Consider the following 21279-nt stretch of genomic DNA (forward strand, 5'->3'; position numbering starts at 1 on the left):
AATTCTGAAGGTGGCTGACTGATCACTGAGAGGTGTCTGCTGACAGCACTCCCAGCAGCTGGGGGAATATGTCATTCATTCCTGAAGAGGGATCTGGGTGGCACACCACAGCATCCATTACCCATGCTGGATATCATACTCCCTTCCTGTGCCTGTGGCTGAACTATAAATCGACTACAGTTTGCTTTATCAATAAGTCCGGATATATTTTCCTAATCTTTTTTAAATGCACCAATCCAGGCATTGTTTGTTTGTTTGCTTGTTTCTGAGATGGAGTCTTGCTCTGTTGCCCAGGTTGGAGTGCAGTGGCACTATCTCGGTTCACTGAAACCTCTGCCACCCAGGTTCAAGCGATTCTCCTGCCTCAGCCTCCCGAGTAGCTGGGATAACAGGCGCCTGTCACCATGCCCAGCTGATTTTCGTATTTATAGTAGAGACGGGATTTCACCATGTTGGCCAGGCAGGTCTCGAACTCCTGACCTTGTGATCCACTCGCCTCAGCCTCCCAAAGTGTTGGGATTACAGGCGTGAGCCATCACGCCCAGCCCAGGCATTGTTACTAATTGATTGCAGTTTGGCCTTTCCCTTTCGTTATCCAAAACCTGGTTGGTGTGGGAGTATAAAGGCCTGAGCCCTTCCAACCCAGGACAATTCTGAAGGGTCACCACAGCTTCAGAGTTCTACGTGGAGCTGGCCGAAGCTTTCACTGAAACTTCCCAGCAGCCCAACTTCACCCTCTGCTCATCCTGTTTTCCTCTCTTTCTTTCCCTTCCCTTCTGCAGGTGGTGATCTCAAGAACACTCCCTAAAAAAACTTCCTATTACTAATCTCCATCTCATAGTCTGTTTTCTGGATAACCCAACCCATGACACCATGGCTTTATTCACACATTAACTGTTCCTAATTGGAAGGAAAGTACTTAATACATCTCAAGAAAAAGAAAACTCAGTTGTAATTAACGTTATTTATTTTGGTCTACCCAATACACTGTTTCATAGTAACATACTGCCCACTGGCCAGAGAGGAGTGTCCTATGCTGGGCCAATCATAAAATTTCACCTTCCTGAACACAGTAATGGGTACAAGGGGTGGGCACATGACCAGCCTTGGACAATCAAAATCCTTCCCTGAGGATTTTTGTACTGAAATCTAGAAGACAAACCTCCCTTTCTTCTCAGATCAGAGAAATGTCAAGATATTACTCTATGGATGCTGGGGCCATATTTGCTGCCTACAAGGAAAAGGACCATCTGAAGTAGTGAATAAAGCCAAGCAGAGGGGAGAAACAGAAAGAGTTAGAGGTCCTGGAAGCATCAAATCCCCTGTAGGTACTCCAGTTCCTACTGCTACACCAATAGTAGTACTGTGAACTATCCTAGTATCATTCTAATAATTTTTTTCTTTTTCTTTTTTGAGACGGAGTCTCGCTGTCACTCAGGCTGGAGTGCAGTGGTGCGATATTGGCTCACTGCAACCTCCACCTCCTGGGTTCAAGCAATTCTCCTGCCTCAGCCTCCCGAGTAGCTGGGATTACAGGCGTGTGCCACCACACCTGGCTAATTTTTGTATTTTTAATAGAGATGGCGTTTCACCATGTTGGCCAGGCTGATCTCAAGCTCCTGACCTCATGATCTGCCTGCCTCAGCCTCCCCAAGTGCTGGGATTACAGGCATGAGCCACCACACCCGGCCATAATTTCTTTTCTTAAGCTAGTTTTAAGTTAGGTTTTTTTGATTAGCAATAGAAGAAATCTTGCCTACATATCTGTGTATTTCTTATTTCTATGAGCTGCCATCTTCTCTAACCTAGTCCTACCAAATGTCCAAAATATTGAGGAACAAACTATAAAATAATCCACTTTTCTACCCAATTCCAGCATGTCAAACTTTTTATGGGTCAAAATATACTGAAGACAATGTACGTGAAATTGTGTTGTGGGCTTAAGAAAGGGGGTCAGAAGGATTATGTTAAGAGAAATACAAGACATAATTTTTGCCTTTATTTATTTATTTTTGAGACAGAGTCTCGCTTTGTCACCAGGCTGGAGTGCAGTGGTGCGGTCTCGGCTCACTGCAACCTCCACCTCCTGGGTTCAAGTGATTCTCCTGCTTCAGCCTCCTGAGTAGCTGGGACCACAGGTGCATGCCCCCATGCCTAGCTAATTTTTGTATTTTTAGTAAATATGGGGTTTCACTATGTTGGCCAGGATGGTCTCAATCTCTTGACCTCATGATCCGCCCACCTCGGCCTCCCAAAGTGCTGGGATTACAGGCGTGAGCCACTGCGCCCAGCCGATTTTTGCCTTTAAAGATGACTTCATCCAAACACAAAATTCCTACACCTGCTACCCTATAACAGATGCTTATCCCCAAACTAAATCTATATAATTATTTAATTAATGTATTTATTCTTGACACAGGGTCTCACTCCATCACCCAGGCTGGAGTGCACTGGTGCGATCACAGCTCACCAAACCTCCACCTCCCAGACTCAAATGATCCTCCCACCTCATCCTCCTGAGTAGCTGGGACACCTGGCCTCCCAATTAAACCTTAAAACATTATATGTTGGCCGGGTGCGGCGGTTCACGCCTGTAATCCCAGCACTTTGTGAGGCCGAGGTGGGTGGATCACGAGGTCAGGAGTTTGAGACCAGCCTGGCTAGCATGGTGAGACCCCCATCTCTACTAAAAAAAAACAAAACAAAAAAATACAAAAAATTAGCCGGGCATGGTGGCATGCGCCTGTAATCCCAGCTACTTGGGAGGCTGAGGCAGGAAAACTGCTTGAACCCAGGAGGCGGAGGTTGCAGTGAGGTGAGATCACGCCACTGCATTCCAGCCTGGGTGAGAGTGAGACTCCATCTCCCCTCAAAAAAAAAAAAAGAAAAGAAAAGAAAGAAAAAAAAAACCCATGATTTGTCTATGATTGGCCGGGCATGGTGGTTCATGCCTTAATCCCAGCACTTTGGGAGGCCCAGGCAGCAGGATTACCTGAACTCAGGAGTTCAGAATCAGCCTGGGCAACATGGCAAAACCCTGTCTGTACAAAAAATACAAAAATTAGCTGCACGTGGGGCGGGCACCTGTAGTCCTAGCTACTTCCGGGATCGAGGCCGGAGGATCACTTGAGCTGGGGAGGTCAAGACTGCAGTGAGCTGAGATCCGAAATCGAGCCACTGCACTCCAGCCTGGGTGACAGGGCAAGACCCCATCTTTTAAAAAACAAAATAAAACAAACAAAAAAACCACAAGAAACATTATTTATCTATGATTACACTGCCTTTACAGTTACATCATATTTATGTCTATACTTGATAACATATTCTAAAAGACAGGAATGGACTTTTTAAAAATAATTTTTTAGCAGCTTTAGATCTACAGAAAAATTGTGAAAATAGTAGAGTTCCCATATATCCCACACCGTTTCCCCTGCATTAGTATGGTGCATTTGTCACAATTAATGAATCAGTACTGATATATTATTATTAACTAACATCCATACTTTATTCAGATTTCCTTAGTTTTTACCTAATGTCCTTTTCGTGTTCCAGGATCCCATCCAGGATACATTTAATCATCATGTCTCCTTAAGCTTCTCTTGGCCATGAAAGATTTTCCAATTTTCCTTGTTTTTGATGACCTTGACAAGTTTGAGGAATACTGGTCAAGTATTTTTTAGAATGTCCTTCCACTGAGATTTGTCAGATGTTTTTCTCATGAGTAGACTAGGGTTATGAGTCTTTGTGAAGAAGACCACACAGAGTGCTACAATCATCATATTGTATCACCAATACATACTATCAACAGGACATCACTGTTGATGTTAACTTTGATTACCTGGTTTAAGGAATTGACTTTTACCTTAATTTGTTTAATGTCTAACTCAGAACTACATATGGGAGGGCACTTAAACACTGTCTTAATATCTGGTTTGTATTCAGTAGGAGGAACAGCTTGATGAGACAACCATCAAAATGGAAAAGGCCGGGCGCGGTGGCTCACGTCTGTAATCCCAGCACTTTGGGAGGCCGAGGCGGGCGGATCACGAGGTCAGGAGATCGAGCCCATCCTGGCTAACACGGTGAAACCCCGTCTTTACTAAAAATACAAAAAATTAGCCGGGCGTGGTAGCGGGCGCCTGTAGTCCCAGCTACTCGGGAGGCTGAGGCAGGAGAATGGCGTGAACCCGGGAGGCGGAGCTTGCAGTGAGCCGAGATCGCGCCACTGCACTCCAGCCTGGGCGACAGAGCGAGACTCCGTCTCAAAAAAAAAAAAAAAAAAAAAAAAAAAAAAGGAAAAAAAAATCCTCTGGGGAAGAGTGGAAAGAGGATTGGTCATCTCGGCCATTTACTACATAAATGACTTTCGGCAAGTTACCTCTGCACCTGTAAAATGGAATAATGGTACCCAATAGTTCTATTAAACATCTGTTGAGGAAATGTATGTGTATGTGTTTTGTACAATATTTATACTTTTAGATTTGCCTATGTAAAAATGAAAACACTCGTGGGAACAGTAAATCTTAAGTAGTTAACATAACTTTATAGAATAATTTTTTTTTCTCTTCAGACGGAGTCTCACTCTGTTGCCCAAGGTGGGGTGCAATGGCACGATCTCGGCTCACTGCAACCTCTGCCTCACCGATTCAAGTGATTCTCCTGCCTCAGCCTCCCGAGTAGCTGAGGCTACAGGGGTGAGCCACCGCGCCCGGCCTAGAATAATTTTCGATTGCTGGTTGAGCAGAGCAAGGCCAATATGAGTTGAGGAAAGCAGAGATGGAAAGGCTCTTTATAGTTAATGATTTCTCATTTTTGCTTTGCTTCCTTTTGCCAAAGTCGGCTTGTCATCTGAGAGTGGAGAGGATTTGTTAGATCTTATGAAGCCAGAGCTCACTTCTGATGTGAACCAAGTATTAATAATTTTGGTGGTGGTTTTCTGTACTGCATCTGAGAGAGTAATCATTGTTCTTTGAAGATGCAATAATTCTACGCTACTACGGGACTTAGGGAAATAATTTTTGAGGATAGGAAGCACAGAATAATTAAGATGACAAGTCTTCCTGCCTCAAAATCATATCACTCTGATTCGAATAAAAAATACCAAGGTTTTTCCTTCTTGAGGTTTTATACTCATGGAAGTTCTTCAACCTGAGGTCTGAAAAATAAGGCAACCCCATCCTCTCCTTAAACAGGTTAGAGCCAGTACCTTTTTATTTCTCTATGCACGGACAAAATAATTATGCAAAAAAAAAAAAGAGGCAGGTTTTGTTTTTTTTTTTGCACTACTGAAATTCACACTTAACATATAAACAATCTGCTATATGCAGACAGCACTGGTGTTTAGAGTTCAATGATCTGGATTCAAGCCTATTTAAAACCAGATAAGAGAAAGTTCCCAAACATCTATGTGTCTTGGATTCTTCATCTGTAAAATTGCGTTGTTGAGAAGATAATATGAGACTAGGCGCGCAAAACAATTTGTTAGAGCTATTATTTCTAACCCGGAATGTGTTCGCTGGCAGTAACAGTGCATTAGTTACGATTCATCGAGGGCAGCTTCTGGACTTTCTGTTTGGAAGCCCAGCTGAGGCAAAAGCAGCAGTGCGTTTAAAAATTGGAGCTCGCCACATTCTGAAATTCTTTCGGTTCGTGAAAGCAGTAACCTAGGAAACGAGACTGGCACCACCCCTTTCAGTCCTAAAGCTTGGTTTCTCCCGCTTTTCTCCATTATGTTTAGGGCATCGCTATTTTACAGTCTTTTTGTTTTTTCTTTCCACATCATTAGCACAAAAGAGAAATTCCCCTTCTACAGAAGCAAGTACAAAACCTTTCTAGTCGCTCCTTTTTGGCAGCAGCTCACCTACTATTTTTTTCTATTCCGCGGTCGCAGCCCCAGACGTCCTCAAAGACAAATATTTTCGCGAGGGCCAGTGTAGGGCAGGAACTCCCTAGGCCTTGAATCAAGGGAATCCAGTAGATAACAACAGAAAGGACTCCGACCCAGGTACCTGAGACATCTGAGACCGCCAAAATTAACACAACACCCTACGCGACAGAGAAAACTCTGGGCGGGGAGAGAGAAAGAGAGCGAGCGAGCGAGAGAGAGAGAGAGCGAGAGAGAGAGAGAGAGAGAGAGAGAGAGAGAGAGAGAGAGAGAGAAAGAGAGCGAGCGAGAGAGAGCGAGAGAGCGAGAGAGCGAGAGAGCGAGAGAGCGAGAGAGAGAGAGAGAGAGAGAGAGAGAGAGAGAGAGAGAGAGAGAGAGAGAGAGAGACGAGAGGAAGCAACGTTCTCGCGACAAGAGGGGTGTCGACGGAAACTCGGAAATGGTCCCCTAGACGACCCGGCCCCAGCTAGTGGGTGGGGCCAGGGTACATCCGCCCCTTTCCGGTTTTTTTCCCCGCCTCCCAACCGTGAGGTGTTGGGTTTGGGGGACGCTGGCAGCTGGGTTCTCCCGGTTCCCTTGGGCAGGTGCAGGGTCGGGTTCAAAGCCTCCGGAACGCGTTTTGGCCTGATTTGAGGAGGGGGGCGGGGAGGGACCTGCGGCTTGCGGCCCCGCCCCCTTCTCCGGCTCGCAGCCGACCGGTAAGCCCGCCTCCTCCCTCGGCCGGCCCTGGGGCCGTGTCCGCCGGGCAACTCCAGCCGAGGCCTGGGCTTCTGCCTGCAGGTGTCTGCGGCGAGGCCCCTAGGGTACAGCCCGATTTGGCCCCATGGTGGGTTTCGGGGCCAACCGGCGGGCTGGCCGCCTGCCCTCTCTCGTGCTGGTGGTGCTGCTGGTGGTGATCGTCGTCCTCGCCTTCAACTACTGGAGCATCTCCTCCCGCCACGTCCTGCTTCAGGAGGAGGTGGCCGAGCTGCAGGGCCAGGTCCAGCGCACCGAAGTGGCCCGCGGGCGGCTGGAAAAGCGCAATTCGGACCTCTTGCTGTTGGTGGACACGCACAAGAAACAGATCGACCAGAAGGAGGCCGACTACGGCCGCCTCAGCAGCCGGCTGCAGGCCAGAGAGGGCCTCGGGAAGAGATGCGAGGATGACAAGGTAAGGACGACCCTTTTCTCTTCAAACCCCATGGTTTCTTTTCTCCCCGGGGTCTGGGGCGGGATGTTAATCCGCTAGCTGTTGTCTTATGCCTTCCAGTATTTCAGTCCTGAAGGCTCCTTTCACCCCCAACAACCCTGTTTCTGTCAGACTTTTCCCAGTTTATCAGTGCCACGTTCTCTGGTCCCTGCCAGAAAAAAATGACTGTAAATTCTGGTTCTCAAGAGTGGACTGTGTGCAGATGCTGCCTATTCTCTAAGCTCAGCTGGTGAGTTGGCAGTAGTAATCATCTGGCCTGTGTGGCCCCCTTACCTTCAAAGACACACAAATCTGGCGACTGCCAGGTTTGGTGTGGTTATTGTCTCATTTTTATTCCGTGCACACTGATCAATATTAATTTCGTTATTTAAAGAACGAAGCCGCCTCTGACTCCTCTACTTATGGTAGTCATCATATATTTTTTAAGCTGTGTGACTTTTAAAATCTCTATAGGGTGATGTATTGAATAACTAAATAATCAGCTATGACTGCCTTTTTGTGATCAAAATGTTATGATAGATGGGCCCTCGAGCTATATGTGAGACACACTTGTGTCTTGGACATAGTTGATCCATCATTATCTACTCAATTTGAATTGTTAATGAAATCAGCCAAAAGATTAGAATCTGAAAATAAATTTTAAGCAGTGGAATGTCATGTCAGTGTCTTCATTGAAAGAAAATAGAATGAAATTTTGTATAGCTAAGTTGCTATTAGGGTTGGTGTTTTATGCAGATGGAAAACTATACAAAGTTTTAAATATAAAAAGTTTAAAATTGAACTGTAATCATACTTGCTACTAAATAATCCTTGTTTTCATTAGCTCATTGGTAACTATATTAATAGTTTATGACTTAGCAACTTCTGTAGGTATAGTAGAGTTATGAAAATTTCTGGGCAGGATAGTAGATGCCTTTCTATACACTTCTTTGGTAATCTTCACATTTTTGTGTGTAAATGCCCATTATAATTACAAGTTTTACTTTGCATATCAAAATCACTTAAGGGTAAGTCATTATGAATTAAACTGTCTGTGAGCTTCTAACTTTCCTGTTGACAGCCTCTACCTGGCTTTCTTATTTCATGAAGATTAAGGCCCTCAGCTAAGTGCTTCCCTATAACCCCCTCCTCTTCACCATAACATAGACATGCTATGATAGGGTCAAGGAATCAGTACATTTATATGTGCGCTGCATGCTTAACTCTAAAGACTGAAAAACTCTCGGGCAGAGTAGGTAGAAATCCATGAAAGTTTGGAGTATTAAAGTAAGGTCTTCCTACTTGGCATGGTTGAGCATTACAATTCACATTCTTCTCTCTGGTCTCAAAGGAAAGTCTCTTGTTGTAATTAATACTCTTGATTCCATTCTTTCATCCATTGGACTTTTTGTTGTTGTCGTTGTTGTTGTTGTTGTTGTTTTTTGAGACGGAGTTTTGTTTTTGTTGCCCAGGCAGGAGTGCAATGGCGTGATCTCAGCTCACTGCAACCTCCGCCCCCCCGGGGTTCAAGCAATTCTCCTGCTTCAGCCTCCTGAGTAGCTGGGATTACAGGCATGCACCACCACGCCTGGCTAATTTTGTATTTTTAGTAGAGAAGGGGTTTCTCAATGTTGGTCAGGCTGGTCTTGAACTACCAACCTCAGGTGATCCGCCCGCCTCAGCCTCCCAAAGTGCTGGGATTACAGGTGTGAGCCACCATGCCCAGCCTCTTTTTTTTTTTTTTTTTTTAAAGAGACAGGGTCTCATTGTGTTGCCCAGGCTGGAGTGCAGTAGCTGTTACACAGGCATGATGCACTATAGCATTGAAATCCTGAGCTCAAGTGATCCTCCTGCTTCAGCCTCTGAGTAGCTGGGACTGCAGGTGTGCACCACCTTGCCCAGCTCTACTGAACTGTCTCTTTCAGTTTGTTTCACTTTTTACCTTCAACAGTATGTGGGTGTCCCCTGTTCTCAGTAAAGGAAAAAAAATCTGTATATTCCTTTCTCCCAACCAACCCATTTGTTTTTTCACTTTCATTGCTAAAGTCAAATTATTGATGGTCTACAAATGTTCCATCTACCTATTTTTTCATAACCATCCTAATCTTAAAATGTCTGCCATCTTTCTTTCCTCCCCTTTTTTGAAACTATTCTCTTGAAGGTCACAAATGGCAGTCTTCCTAGTCAAAACCAAAGAATATTTTTATTCTTACTGTATTTGACCTCCCAGTAGTTTGATCCTGTTGATTGTCTCTAGCTATTTGGAAACTATTTTCTTTCTTGCTTCTGTTATACTGGACTCTCCAGTCTTATCTTCTTCACTATATTCTTTGCTGGATTTATTTTTTCTTTCCAGTCACCTAGTAAGGGACTCTGTTATTGAGCCTTTGCTCTCCCATAAGAGCAGTATTCCCCAAAGTAGTGTTAAACAGAATACCCTTCTTGTAATATTTCTTAGGTGGTGAGGAGAAAAAAATGAAAACCTTTTTTGGAGGGAAATGTTAGTGTATCCTCCTCTTGGAATTCATAATGCCTGCTGGAATATAAAAGCTCTGAGAAATCCATTAATAAAGAAGGCTATTCAATTTTGTTTAACTCAGTCTTGTTTAGTTTATTTGATCACAGGTTACTATTTTCATGGCCTACCTATTATGGCACAGAATAATATAGCAAAGCCCACTAGTTTGGGAAATATTGCCCTGGGTATCTTAACTACTTTTAAGTGTTTGGCTAATATTTTATGCAGCTGGCTCACAAGACTGTATCTCTTATTGAATGTCAGTTCTGTGTGTGTATATGTGTATACATACATATATATATATATATATTTTTTTTTTTTTTTAGACAGAGTCTCGCTCGGTTAAGCAGGCTGGAGTACAGTGGTGTGATCTCGGCTCACTGCAAGCTCCGCCTCCTGGGTTCACGCCATTCTCTGCTTCAGCCTCCTGAGTAGCTGGGACTACAGGCGCCCACCTCCATGCCCGGCTAATTTTTTGTATTTTTAGTAGAGATGGGGTTTCACCATGTTAGCCAAGATGGTCTCGATCTCCTGACCTCGTGATCCACCAGCCTTGGCCTCCCAAAGTGCTGAGATTACAGGCGTGAGCCACCGCACCCGGCTAGTTCTGTATATTTTTAAAAGTTTTTTCTTTTTTTAGTTTTGTAGAGATAGGGTGTTGCTATGTTGCCCAGGCTGCTTTCAAACTCCTGGCTCCAAGTGATCTTGCCTTGGGCTCACAAAGTGCTGGGATTCTAGGTGTGTGCCACAGCACTTGGTGTGCCACTTCTGTATTTTGAGCTGGCTATAACAACTTTCTTGGGCTGCTTGTGAATGTCTGTTCTTGGGGTTAATGAGGACTCTCTGAGCTGCTTAGTAGAAAGGGTAGTCTTGGTCTCTGTATTTTAAACTTAACAGTTTTTCAGGGTTTTTTTTATTGTTATTGTTGTTTGTTTGTTTTGAGACAGGGTCTTGCTCTGTCACCCAGGCTGGAGAGCAGTGGTGCGATCATAGTTTACTACAGCCTCAAACTCCTGGGCTCAAGCGATCCTCCCACCTCGGCCTCCCAAGTAGCTGGGACTATAGGTGCATGCCACCATGATGGTCTAATTTTTTATTTTTTGGTAGAGATGAGGGTCTTATTATCTTGTCCAGGCTGGTCTCCAGTTCCTGGCCTGAAGTGATCCTCCTGCCTTGGCCTTCTAAAGTGCTGGGTGTGAGCCACCATACTTGGCCACTTAACAGTTTTAGATCTGGAAAATTATTGGAAAATTAGATCTGGAAAACTAAACAAGTGATCCTCCTGCCTTGGCCTTCTAAAGTGCCAGGTGTGAGCTACCATACCTGGCCACTTAACAGTTTTAGATCTGGAAAATTATTGCAAAGATAGTACAGGGAGTTTTTATATACCCCACACCCAGTCTTCCCTATTATTAACATCTTAACATAAGTATGATGCATTTGTCACAATTAATGAACCAGTATTGATATCTTATTATGAAAGTCCGTACTTTATTCAGATTTCTTCAGTTTTCGCCTGCTGTCCTTTTTTAATTCCAGGATCTCATCCAGAGTTACGTTACATTTAGACATTATGTCTTCTGAAGCTTCTTTTCAGCCTTTCCTTGTTTTTTAGACCTTTTCTTGTTTTTGATAATCTTGACAATTTTAAGGATTACTGATTAGGTGTTTTATATAGAATGTCCCTCAATTGGGAATTGTCTGAGTCTTTTCTCAGGATTAGACTGGAGTTGTGGGTTTTCGGACAAAGACCACAGAAGTAAAGTACCAATCTCAACACATCATAACATGGGTATGTTTTTCAAAATGATTTATCACTACTTATGTTAACCTCTATCACCTGGCGTGAGATAGTGCTTGTCAGGTTTCTCCACTATAATGTACTCTTAAAAAAAATCTGTTTCCATACTGTACACTTTGGAAGAAAGTATGTTCACCCTCACTTAATGAGTGGGTAGTTATGTTTTTCCTCCTTAAGGACAGAGTATCAACATAAACTATATGGAATTCTTCTGCAAAGGAGATTTGTCTCTTCTCCCTCATTTATTAACTTAATAATTTACTTGTATCGGTATGGACTCATGGATATTTATTTTGTACTTTGGCTTATAATCCAATATTAGTTTATTTTTTTGTTGCTCAAATTGTTCTGGCTCTGGCTGTTGGAGAGCTCCTTCATTAACTCCTGTATCCCCTTCTTACTTTTATAGTGCCAGAAAGTACAGAGAATTTCCACATACCCTACACCCAGTTTCATTGTGACATACCCCTTTCTTACTTTTTGGTACTTTTAGATGCTCTAGGCCTATCTATACGTTTCCTACTCCAGCCCTAGAGTCAACCATTTCTCCAAGGAACCTTGGTTCCTTTTATTGGAGAATGGCATTAGAAACCAAGGTCTGCAGCTGGGCACGGTGGCTCACGCCTGTAGTCCCAACACTTTGGGAGGCTGAGGCTAGTGGATTTCTTGAGGTCAGGAGTTCAAGACCACCCTGACTAACATGGTGAAACCCCATCTCTACTTAAAAATACAAAAATTGGGCCAGACACGGTGGCTCACGCCTGTAATCCCAGCACTTTGGGAGGCCGAGGTGGGCAGATCACAAGGTCAGGAGTTCGAGACCAGCCTGGCTAGCATGGTGAAACTCCGTCTCTACTAAAAATACAAAAAATTAGTCGGGTATGGTGGTGCGCACCTGTAGTCCCAGCTACTTGGGAGGCTGAGGCAGGAGAATTGCTTGAACCCGGCAGGCAGAGGTTGCAGTGAGCTGAGATCACGCCATTGCACTCCAGCCTGGAGGACAGCGAGACTCCATCTCAAAAAAAAAAAAAAAAACACCACCACCACAAAAAAAAACAAAAATTAACCGGGCATGGTGGGGGGCGCCTGTAATCCCAGCTACTTGGGAGGAGTATCGTTTGAACTGGGAAGCAGAGGTTGCAGTGAGCCAAGATTGTGCCACTGCACTCCAGCCTGGGCAACAGAGTAAGACTCTGTCTCACAAAAAAAAAAAAAGAAACCAAGGTCTGCTTGGCAGATATGCTCGTTGCTACTATAAGGTTATCTTTGGAAATCAAGGAATCCTTTCTCCAGAGGAATCAGAAAGGTGATATTTGGTTTCTTTCACATTATTATGCCATTCTGTCACTTCCAGTCTGTTACCTGGGTTACTAAACACATAAATTCCTTTTTTTTTTTTTTTCTGAGATGGAGCCTCACTCTGTCACCCAGGCTGGAGCGCAGTGGCGCAGTCTCAGCTCACTTCAACCTCCACCCGCCGGGCTGAAGTGATTCTCCTGCCTCATCCTCCTGAGTAGCTGAGACTACAGGTGCATGCCACCATGCCTGGCTAATTTTTGATTTTTTAGTAGAGACAGGGTTTCACCATGTTGGCCAGGCTGGTCTTTAACTCCTGACCTCAAGTGATCTGCCCACCTTGGCCTCCCAAAGTGCTGGATTACAGGCATGACCCACCACATCCGGCCTTGAACATGGAAATTCTTTAAGGGAGCTTTAAGTTGCTCCTGTCTTGTCCAAAGAAGTGAGAAACAACCCCCACTTCTCTGAGATTCCCTCAAACTTTCTGATTTTTTAAACTTCCCTCTAAAGGGTTTCAGCCTGGAGGGGTGTATTAGTTTGCTAGGGCTGCCATAACAAAATGCCACAGACTAGGTGGCTTAAACAGCAGAAATTTATTTTCTCACATTTTTGAAGGTTGGAAGTCTAAGACCAAGGTGCCAGCAGGGTTGTTTTTCTCTGAACTTCTCTCCTTGGCTTGCAGATGGCAACCTTCTTGCTGCTTTATTGTGACATGATAGTCCCTCTGTATGCACACATCCTTGGTGTCTTTTCCTCTTCTTAAAAGGATACGAGTCATATTGGATTAGACCCACTGTAACTTAAGCACTTTAAAGACCTTGTCTCCAAATACAGTTACATTCTGAGATCCTGGAGGCTGGGACTTCAACATGTGAATTTGGGGGAAACACAGTTCATCTTAGAACAAGGGAGATCCACCACACATACACACACACACACACACACACACACACACAGACACCCTTTTATTTCCTCTTTTATCAGAAAAGTCCTTATTTCTCTTTCCTCAGTACAGGGCATGTCTCTTAACTTTGATTATTATTCTCTCTCTCTTTGTCTTTTAAAGAGATGGGGTCTTACTACATTGCCCAGGCTAGAATGCAGTAGCTATTCATAGGTGTGATCATAGCACACCACAGCCAGGAACTCCTGGTCTCAAGTGAAGGTCCTCCTGTTTAAGCCTTCTGAGTAGCTGAAACTACAGGTGTGCACCACTGTGCTTGGCTCCTAAACTTGGATTCTTGCAAACTGTAGCTCATACTAAAGCTATGTGGTCCAGCTGTGGCACGTCAAGCTCTTGATAAATAAAAGGAGCTGTTAGAATGTAGAAAAAGTCCTCAAAATTGTCGTTTTATTACACACATACACACACATACACACACATCAGTTTTGAGGTTTGAAGCTGAATAGTAAATGACCTTTTTTCCCTTTAACAACCATAATTTTCCTTGAGGCAGCCTATGCCTTTAGTTGAATGGGGAAAAGGTCATATGTCAGAAAGGAGGATGAGAAGCGTATTACAAAAAAATGCTTTTTGGGGGAAAATTTTGGAATATAATAGTAGTCTCTCTTATTCTTGAGAGGTTTGAGTAAATTGATTAAAATTCTTAAAACAGTGCCTACTACATTGTTATTCTACAGCTACTTCCTTATTTCTTTTCTGCCTTTTTTCCAGGATGGGACTCTGTCTGTGTTCCTGCCCAAGATCTGGTCCCAGCCCTAGCCTACCTGCCTCACCCTTTGCTCCTGAATGTCTGACTGTTTTTGTTATTTGCTTGTTTTCAGTTTCCTGGTTCATTTCCAGTTAGGCTTAGTTGGCTCCTCCCATAGGTGTCTTAGCTGACTCCCTAGAGCTTGCCTGTTCTTCTGTAATTTGAGTATCAACCTTCTACAGTTCTAATATGCTGCACATGATAATTCCTGCCTTTGCCTCTGCCTCACCAGCCATAATCTGGCCAACTTTTAACTGTAATTTCTACCTCAAATTATTCATAAACCAATCAAAACTGATAACTCTTCCAAACGATATCCCTTTCCTACCTTCTTGGTTCCTATAAATGATGCCCATGCAACTGTTATTTAAGACTGAGGTTAGAAATTTGGTGTTGTCTTTGATTCCTTCAGTGTATCATATTGAGTGCTTCAACATGCAGAGGAGTTACTTGATCGAATTAAAAAAAACGTCATTCTGACTGCAGAATAGAGAACTTGGCAGATCCCTAACTAGTCCCCTTTCCTTGGTCTCCATTTCTTTTTGTCAGTTCTCCTGTGAAGCCAGCCTGAACTTCCTCAAACCTTATTTTCAGAGTGGCTGTATGACTCACTGACTACATCAGGTTAGAATTCTGCTGTCTCATCTTTAAGGTCTTCCATAGAATGGCTCTAGCTACCTTTGTCTCCCACTATCTCCTGACCCAAATTGTATTTCAGGCTGATTGTTTTGCTTACTTTTGCCTTCCCACCTGCCTTTCTGTGTCATGTTAATTCCTGTTTCTGTGCCTTTGTTCCTGCTGTTTGACTCTTAGTTTCTTGCCTCTTTTCTGTATATTTATTATACCAATTTTTTTTTGTTTTTTTTTTTTTAATTGAGGCAGAGTCTTGCTCTGTCGCCCAGGCTGGAGTGCAGTGGTGTGATCTTGGCTCACTGCAAGCTCCGCCTCCCGGGTTCACACCATTCTCCTGCCTCAGCCTCCTGAGTAGCTAGGACTACAGGCACCCGCCACCAGGCCCAGCTAAATTTTTTGTATTTTGAGTAGAGAAGGGGTTTCACCATGTTAGTCAGGATGGTCTCCATCTTGATCTCCTGACCTCATGATCCACCCGCCTTGGCCTCCCAAAGTGTTGGGATTACAGGTGTGAGCCACCGCACCTGGCCTTTTTTTTTTTTTTTTTTGAGATGGAGTCTTGCTCTGTTGCCCAGGCTGCAGTACAGTGACGCAATCTTGGCTCATTGCAACCTCCGCCTCCCGGGTTTAAGCGACTCTCCTGCCTCAGCCTCCTGAGTAGCTGGGATTACAGGCACGCACCACCAGGCCTGGCTAAATTTTTTTGTATTTTTAATAGAGATGGGGTTTCACCATGTTGGCCAAGCTGGTCTCGAACTCCTGACCTTGTGAACCGTCCACCTTGACCTCCCAAAGTGCTGGGATTACAGGCATGAGCCACCACACCTGGCCTATTCTACCAATCTTTTATCCAGCTTCTGATCCATGTCCACTATGAAGCCCCCTGGGACTTCTGACCTGGAATATGCTTTTCCTTCTTTTCTTTTTCTTTTTTTTTTTTTTTGAGATGGAGTTTTGCTCTTGTCGCCCAGGTTGGAGTGCAATGGCGCGATCTCAGCTTACTGCAACCTCCGCCTCCCAGGTTCAAGTGATTCTCTAGCCTCAGCCTCCCAAGTAGCTGGGATTATAGGCACCCACCACCATGGCCGGCTAATTTTTTTTTTTTTTTTTGTATTTTTAGTAAAGATGGGGTTTTACCACATTGGCCAGGCTGGTCTCGAACTCCTAACCTCAGGTGATCCACCCACCTGGGCCTCCCAAAGTGCTGGGATTACAGGTGTGAGCCACTGCTCCCAGCCATGCTTTTCCTTCTTTATACACCATTTACATTTATTGTTTGAGCTTCATTAACTTATTTTGTTCATTTTTTACTAATAGCTTATTGTTTGTGAACTTCGTTTTCTCAACGAAATTTTAAGTTCCTTGAGGAAGGACTATGTTTTAAATTTTTTCCTGCGGGAAAAATTGTTCTTAGTGCTGTTACAAAATGTACGAGGTTGATTTGTATCCCCTAAAAGGATATATTGAAGTCTAAATCACCTGTGAATGTTATCTTAGTTTGGGAATAGGGTCTTTGCAGATGTAATCAAGTTAAAATGAGGTCATACTGGATTAGGGTGGCCCCTATTCCATTATAACTGGTATCCTTATAAGAAAAAAAAATAGAATTAGGGAGAACACCAGGTGCATGAATACACAGAGACACACAGACACATTGCAGAGACCGCATGGCAGATAAAGGCAGAGATTGGAGTTATGTTTCCACAAACCAAGGAATGCCCAGGGCTACCAGAAGCCAGAAGCCAGGAGCCTCCCCCTAGAGGCTCCAGTGGGAACAGGGCTTTGCCAACACCTTGATTTTGGACTTCTAGCCTCTGAAACCATCCTCTAGCACTGTGAGACAATACATTTCTGCTTTATGCTATTCAGTTTGTGGCACTTTGTTATATCAGCCTAGGAAACAAATACACAAATGCATACTTAAAAGTTAATTTGATTTTTTGACTAGATAATTGTTTTTGTTTTTTTTTTTTGAGACAGAGTCTCGCTCTGTCGCCCAGGCTGGAGTGCAGTGGCGCGATCTCAGCTCACTGCAACCTCCACCTCCCGAGTTCAAGTGGTTCTCCTGCTTCTTCCTTCCGAGTAGCTGGGATTACAGGCACGCACCACCACACCCAGCTAAATTTTGCATTTTTGATAGAGACAGTGTTTCACCATATTGGCCAGGCTGGTCTTGAACTCCTGACCTCAGGTGATCCGCCCGCCTCGGCCTCCCAAATTGACTAGATAACTACTCTTATATAATATATACTGTGTGGCAGTATGGTTCACTGGAAAGAACAAGGGTTTTTGGAGTCAAACAGACTTGAGTTTATAATTCTACCATTATGTTACCTCTCCTTAAGCCTGTTTCTTCACTCATAAAATGAAGAGGATTCATGAAGTAAAATATTTAGAGGCCTGTCCCATACAAAGCTTGACATTTAATAATATTGGTTCCTTTCTTTCATGGGTGCATTGGTATAGCTAATCTTGAAGAAATTTGGGGCTAGGTGTAGTGGCTCATGCCTATAATCCCAGCACTTTGGGTGGCTGAGGCAGGAGGATCATGTGAGGCCAGGAGGTTGAGGCTAGCCTGGGCAACATAGCAAAAAAAAAAAAAAAAAAAAAAAAAAAGCTGGGCATGGTGACACATGCCCATAGTCTTAATTGCTTGGGAGGTTTAAGCTGGAGGATCACTTGAGCCCAGGAGTTTGAAGCTGCAGGGAGCTATGATTGTGCCACTGTGCCCTAGCCTGACAACAGAGCAAGACCCTGTCTCAAAAAAAGAAAGAAAAGGAAAAAAGAAAAGAAGAGAGGAGAGGAGGGGAGGGGAGGAGGAAAGAGAAGGAAGGAAGGAAGGGAGGGAAGGAAGGAGGGAAGGAGAGAAAGAGGAAGAAAGAGGGAGAGGGAGAGGGAAGAAAGAAAAGAAAGGAAGAAGGGAGGGAGGAAGGAAGGAAGAAGTTTAGTCTTGTATTATTCTATTGAAACCCAAGTATATTAATTCAGTTGACAAAAATTTATTAAATATATTGGGCACTTACTGTGCTATACACTAAAATGATCTTTGAAACAAGTTTTCACTTTTCTTTGTCTCCCTTTCTTATTTTTGTATTTCTCTGTTTTTTCTTACTCTCCTGATAAAGGACTGAGTAATCTCAGGAGGTTCCATGAAGATCATAAAACAAGCTGCTTTTTGAAAAATGATGACTAGGATTTAGTTGTGCAGAAAAAAGGTAAAAGGACATTCAAGGAGCTCCCTTTTACTTACTCCATAGAGGCAAACAAACAGTTCTTATAGTGTGGCATGTAACATCTGTCTCCTGAAGTGACAGGGAGTACCTTTTGACTTATGACCTCATTAAACAGGAGGAACTAGTCCTTACAATTTTTGGTTGAAGACCTTAAAGTTCCCCATGTTAGCCTCTTCCTCAAAAGAGAGTTAAAGTTTCCTTGAATTCAAAGTCCAGGCTTTTTTCTAGGGACAGACTGGGCATGCAGTAATTTCAGTTTCTCACAGTGCTTCAAGGCTCTCTTTCTTGTTCTTAATTAACTTTATCTAATTTTCTTACACTGTTTCTGGCCAGGTAGTTCCTCTTTTGAACAATGTTGCCACAGAGCTTTTGCTCAGATGCTTTTAATGTCTGATTCTTTCTCTTTTCCAAACTACACTTTTTCCCTGAGGATGACTTCAAAACTTACATCCACGAAGCTTTTTCTATTTAATATAAAATGATTTGCTTTCCTTTTACAATTTCAATTTTCTATATCCAATTTAAGTTCAACTTAGGGGAACATTTTTTCTCATTTGATGATTAACAAAGGCCTCTCATAGCTCACTGCAGCCTCAGACTCCTGGCCTCAAGTGATCCTCCCGCCTCAGCATCTCAAAGTGCTGGGATTACAGGCATGAGCCACCATGCCTGGCTACATTTTCACTCTTAAACTTGACTCTCTATAGCATTTTATACTGATGATCTCTCCTTTCTCTCCTTTTTGAAACTTCTTCCCTTTAGCTTTAATAATACCCATTTATCTTGGTTATCCTATCATTTTCCCACTCAATGTTTACATATGCTGTGCTTCCATCTTTAACCCCATTTTAATTTCTTTATTGAACAAATATGTTCAAGTTTCTATTTTGGATCAGTTACTATGCTGCATGCATATCACATAGTGAATGAGTGAACAAGACAGATATGGTATACATTGACTATGGAACTTACCCTTGAGCAGGGGCTATGAGGGGAAGACCTAACCTATTTTAGAGGCTTAGGGATGACATTCTTGAGAGTTTTAGTTGAGTCCTAAAAAAAAGATCAGGATTTAATGAGGCAAAGATTGAGTGAGAGGTTTGAGATAAGAGGCTCAGGAGAGATGAAAAGAGGGTTCCAGATGTAGAATGTTGCATATTTTATTTTATTGCATATTTTAAAGCACAGGATATCAGCCGGGTATGGTGCCACATGCCTATAATCCCATTTACTCGGGAGGTTGAGGCAGGAGAATTACTTGAATCCAGGAGGCAGAGGTTGCAGTGAGCCAAGATCATGCCAAGTGCACTCCATCCTGGGCTACAGAGGGAGACCCTCTCTCAAAAAAAAAAAAAAACTTAGGAGCCAAGGTCATGGCACCACTGTACTCCAGGCTGGGCAACAGAGTGAGATCCTATCTCAAAAAAAAAAGTTCACCATGTGGAATGAGGGAGCTAGAATGAGTGTGATAATATTTGATGTTGCACTACAAGACTGGATTCAGATTGTGAAAAGATTTGTGAGTCATGTTAAGGGCAATAGGAAGCCATTGATTGACTCTCTTTTTTACATTTAATTTTTTTTTTTTTTTTGAGATGGAGTCTTACTCTGTTGCCCAGGCTGGAGTGCAGTGTCACGATCTTGGCTCACTGCAACCTCTGTCTCATGGGTTCAAGCGATTCTCCTGCCTCAGCCTCCCAAGTAGCTGGGACTACATGCACATGCCACCACACCCAGCTAATTTTTGTATTTTTAGTAAAGACAGGGTTTTGCCATGTTGACGAGGCTGGTCTCAAACTCCTGGCCTCAAGTGATCTGTTCACCTCGGCCTCCCAAAGTGCTGGGATTATAGGCATGAGCCACCACGCCTAGTGGTTCTAGTTTTTTTCTTGTCTTCCAATGATATATTGTGAATTTTCTTTCTTTCCTATTTTTTTTGAGATGGGGTCTCACTCTGTTGCCCAGGCTATAGTGCAGTGTCACCATCTCAGCTCACTGCAACCTCCACCTCCTAGATTCAATCGAGCTTCCTGCCTCAGCCTCCCAGGTAGCTGGGACTACAGGTGCACAGTACCACACCCAGCTAATTTTTATTTTTTTTGTAGAGATGGGGTTTCATTGTGTTGCCCAGGCTGGTCTTGAACTCCAGGACTTAAGTGATCTGCCGGCCTTGGCCTCCCAAAGTGTTGGGATTACAAGCATGAGCCACCATATCCAGCCTGTGAATTTCTTGACTATAAAAATATAGTCTAGGCTGGGCGCAGTGGCTTACACCTGTAATCCCAGCGCTTTAGGAAGCTGAGGTGGGCGTATCACGAGGTCCAGAGGTCAACACCATCCTGGCCAACATGGTGAAACCCCGTCTCTACTAAAAATACAAAAATTAGCCGGGCGTAGTGGCGGACGCCTGTAGTCCCAGCTACTTGGGAGGCTGAGGCAGGAGAATCAATTGAACCTGGGAGGCAGAGGTTGCAGTGAGTGGAGATCGCGCCACTGCACTCTAGCCTGGGCGACAGAGCAATACTCCATCTCAATAAATAAATAAATAAATAAATAAATAAATAAATAAATAGTCTAAATCTAGTATAAATCTAACACTTAATATTTCATACTATTCCCTATGTCTGGACTCAGTAAATATTTGATGATTGATTTAGCAATTTGTATTGCTTCTTGAACCAACGGGTGCATAAATATGTACTAGGGCTACCACAGATATTATCCACATATCTGATTGCACTACCTTTTCTGGAAGACATAACTAAAATATTCAGATGTAAAACTACTGCTTGTCAACTCATCTTTCTAGTATACATAGAATATATCTTTTATTTGAAACGTGTTATAGTAGATCTAGAATAATATTTTATTCATTTAGAAACTCAAAAATATTTTTCTGATTCAATTTAGTGTTTAAGTGAAGAGAACAAAACCTTGGGATTAGCTTCATGGGGATATAATGAAAAAAAGTTTGAGTTATAAGCATAGCTTGGATTTTTGTTTGTTTTTTTTGGTGACAGGGTCTCATTCT

At 43.3% G+C, this 21279-nt stretch overlaps 1 protein-coding gene across 3 annotated transcripts in view, besides 7 other annotated features; it reads left to right on the plus strand.

The window, feature by feature from the left end:
• Positions 5456-6362: an enhancer, noted in NCBI's record as "NANOG-H3K27ac-H3K4me1 hESC enhancer chr15:44579976-44580882 (GRCh37/hg19 assembly coordinates)". NCBI's record gives its function as "activates a minimal SCP1, AML or CMV promoter by ChIP-STARR-seq in primed H9 embryonic stem cells {active_cell/tissue: H9 hESC(primed)}" and the evidence as "EXISTENCE:reporter gene assay evidence [ECO:0000049][PMID:30033119]".
• Positions 5456-6673: a biological region, named in NCBI's record as "Sharpr-MPRA regulatory region 13790".
• Positions 5744-5813: an enhancer, noted in NCBI's record as "active region_9335". NCBI's record gives its function as "activates an Ori minimal core promoter by ATAC-STARR-seq in GM12878 lymphoblastoid cells {active_cell/tissue: GM12878}" and the evidence as "EXISTENCE:reporter gene assay evidence [ECO:0000049][PMID:35858748]".
• Positions 6209-6503: an enhancer, noted in NCBI's record as "tiled region #13790; HepG2 Activating non-DNase unmatched - State 1:Tss, and K562 Activating DNase unmatched - State 1:Tss". NCBI's record gives its function as "activates a minimal TATA promoter and a strong SV40 promoter by Sharpr-MPRA in HepG2 and K562 cells {active_cell/tissue: HepG2 | K562}" and the evidence as "EXISTENCE:reporter gene assay evidence [ECO:0000049][PMID:27701403]".
• Positions 6314-6673: a silencer, noted in NCBI's record as "silent region_6394". NCBI's record gives its function as "represses an Ori minimal core promoter by ATAC-STARR-seq in GM12878 lymphoblastoid cells {active_cell/tissue: GM12878}" and the evidence as "EXISTENCE:reporter gene assay evidence [ECO:0000049][PMID:35858748]".
• The window catches only part of GOLM2 (golgi membrane protein 2), a 127040-nt gene continuing 112157 nt past the window's right edge, over positions 6397-21279 (plus strand). For all 3 annotated transcript variants that reach the window (NR_157849.2, NM_138423.4, NM_177974.3), the window contains exon 1: positions 6397-7034. Coding sequence is in view for 2 of the 3 variants with exons in the window: in NM_138423.4 (NP_612432.2) it covers positions 6708-7034 (327 nt within the window). In the remaining variant the exon portion in view is untranslated. The remainder of the gene's footprint in view (positions 7035-21279) is intronic.
• Positions 13729-14023: a silencer, noted in NCBI's record as "tiled region #4392; HepG2 Repressive non-DNase unmatched - State 16:ElonW, and K562 Repressive DNase matched - State 5:Enh". NCBI's record gives its function as "represses a minimal TATA promoter and a strong SV40 promoter by Sharpr-MPRA in HepG2 and K562 cells {active_cell/tissue: HepG2 | K562}" and the evidence as "EXISTENCE:reporter gene assay evidence [ECO:0000049][PMID:27701403]".
• Positions 18149-18443: a silencer, noted in NCBI's record as "tiled region #4287; K562 Repressive DNase matched - State 5:Enh". NCBI's record gives its function as "represses a minimal TATA promoter and a strong SV40 promoter by Sharpr-MPRA in K562 cells {active_cell/tissue: K562}" and the evidence as "EXISTENCE:reporter gene assay evidence [ECO:0000049][PMID:27701403]".

Source organism: Homo sapiens, chromosome 15, assembly GCF_000001405.40.
Source record: "Homo sapiens chromosome 15, GRCh38.p14 Primary Assembly".
In the NCBI taxonomy this organism is placed as follows: Eukaryota; Metazoa; Chordata; class Mammalia; order Primates; family Hominidae; genus Homo; species Homo sapiens.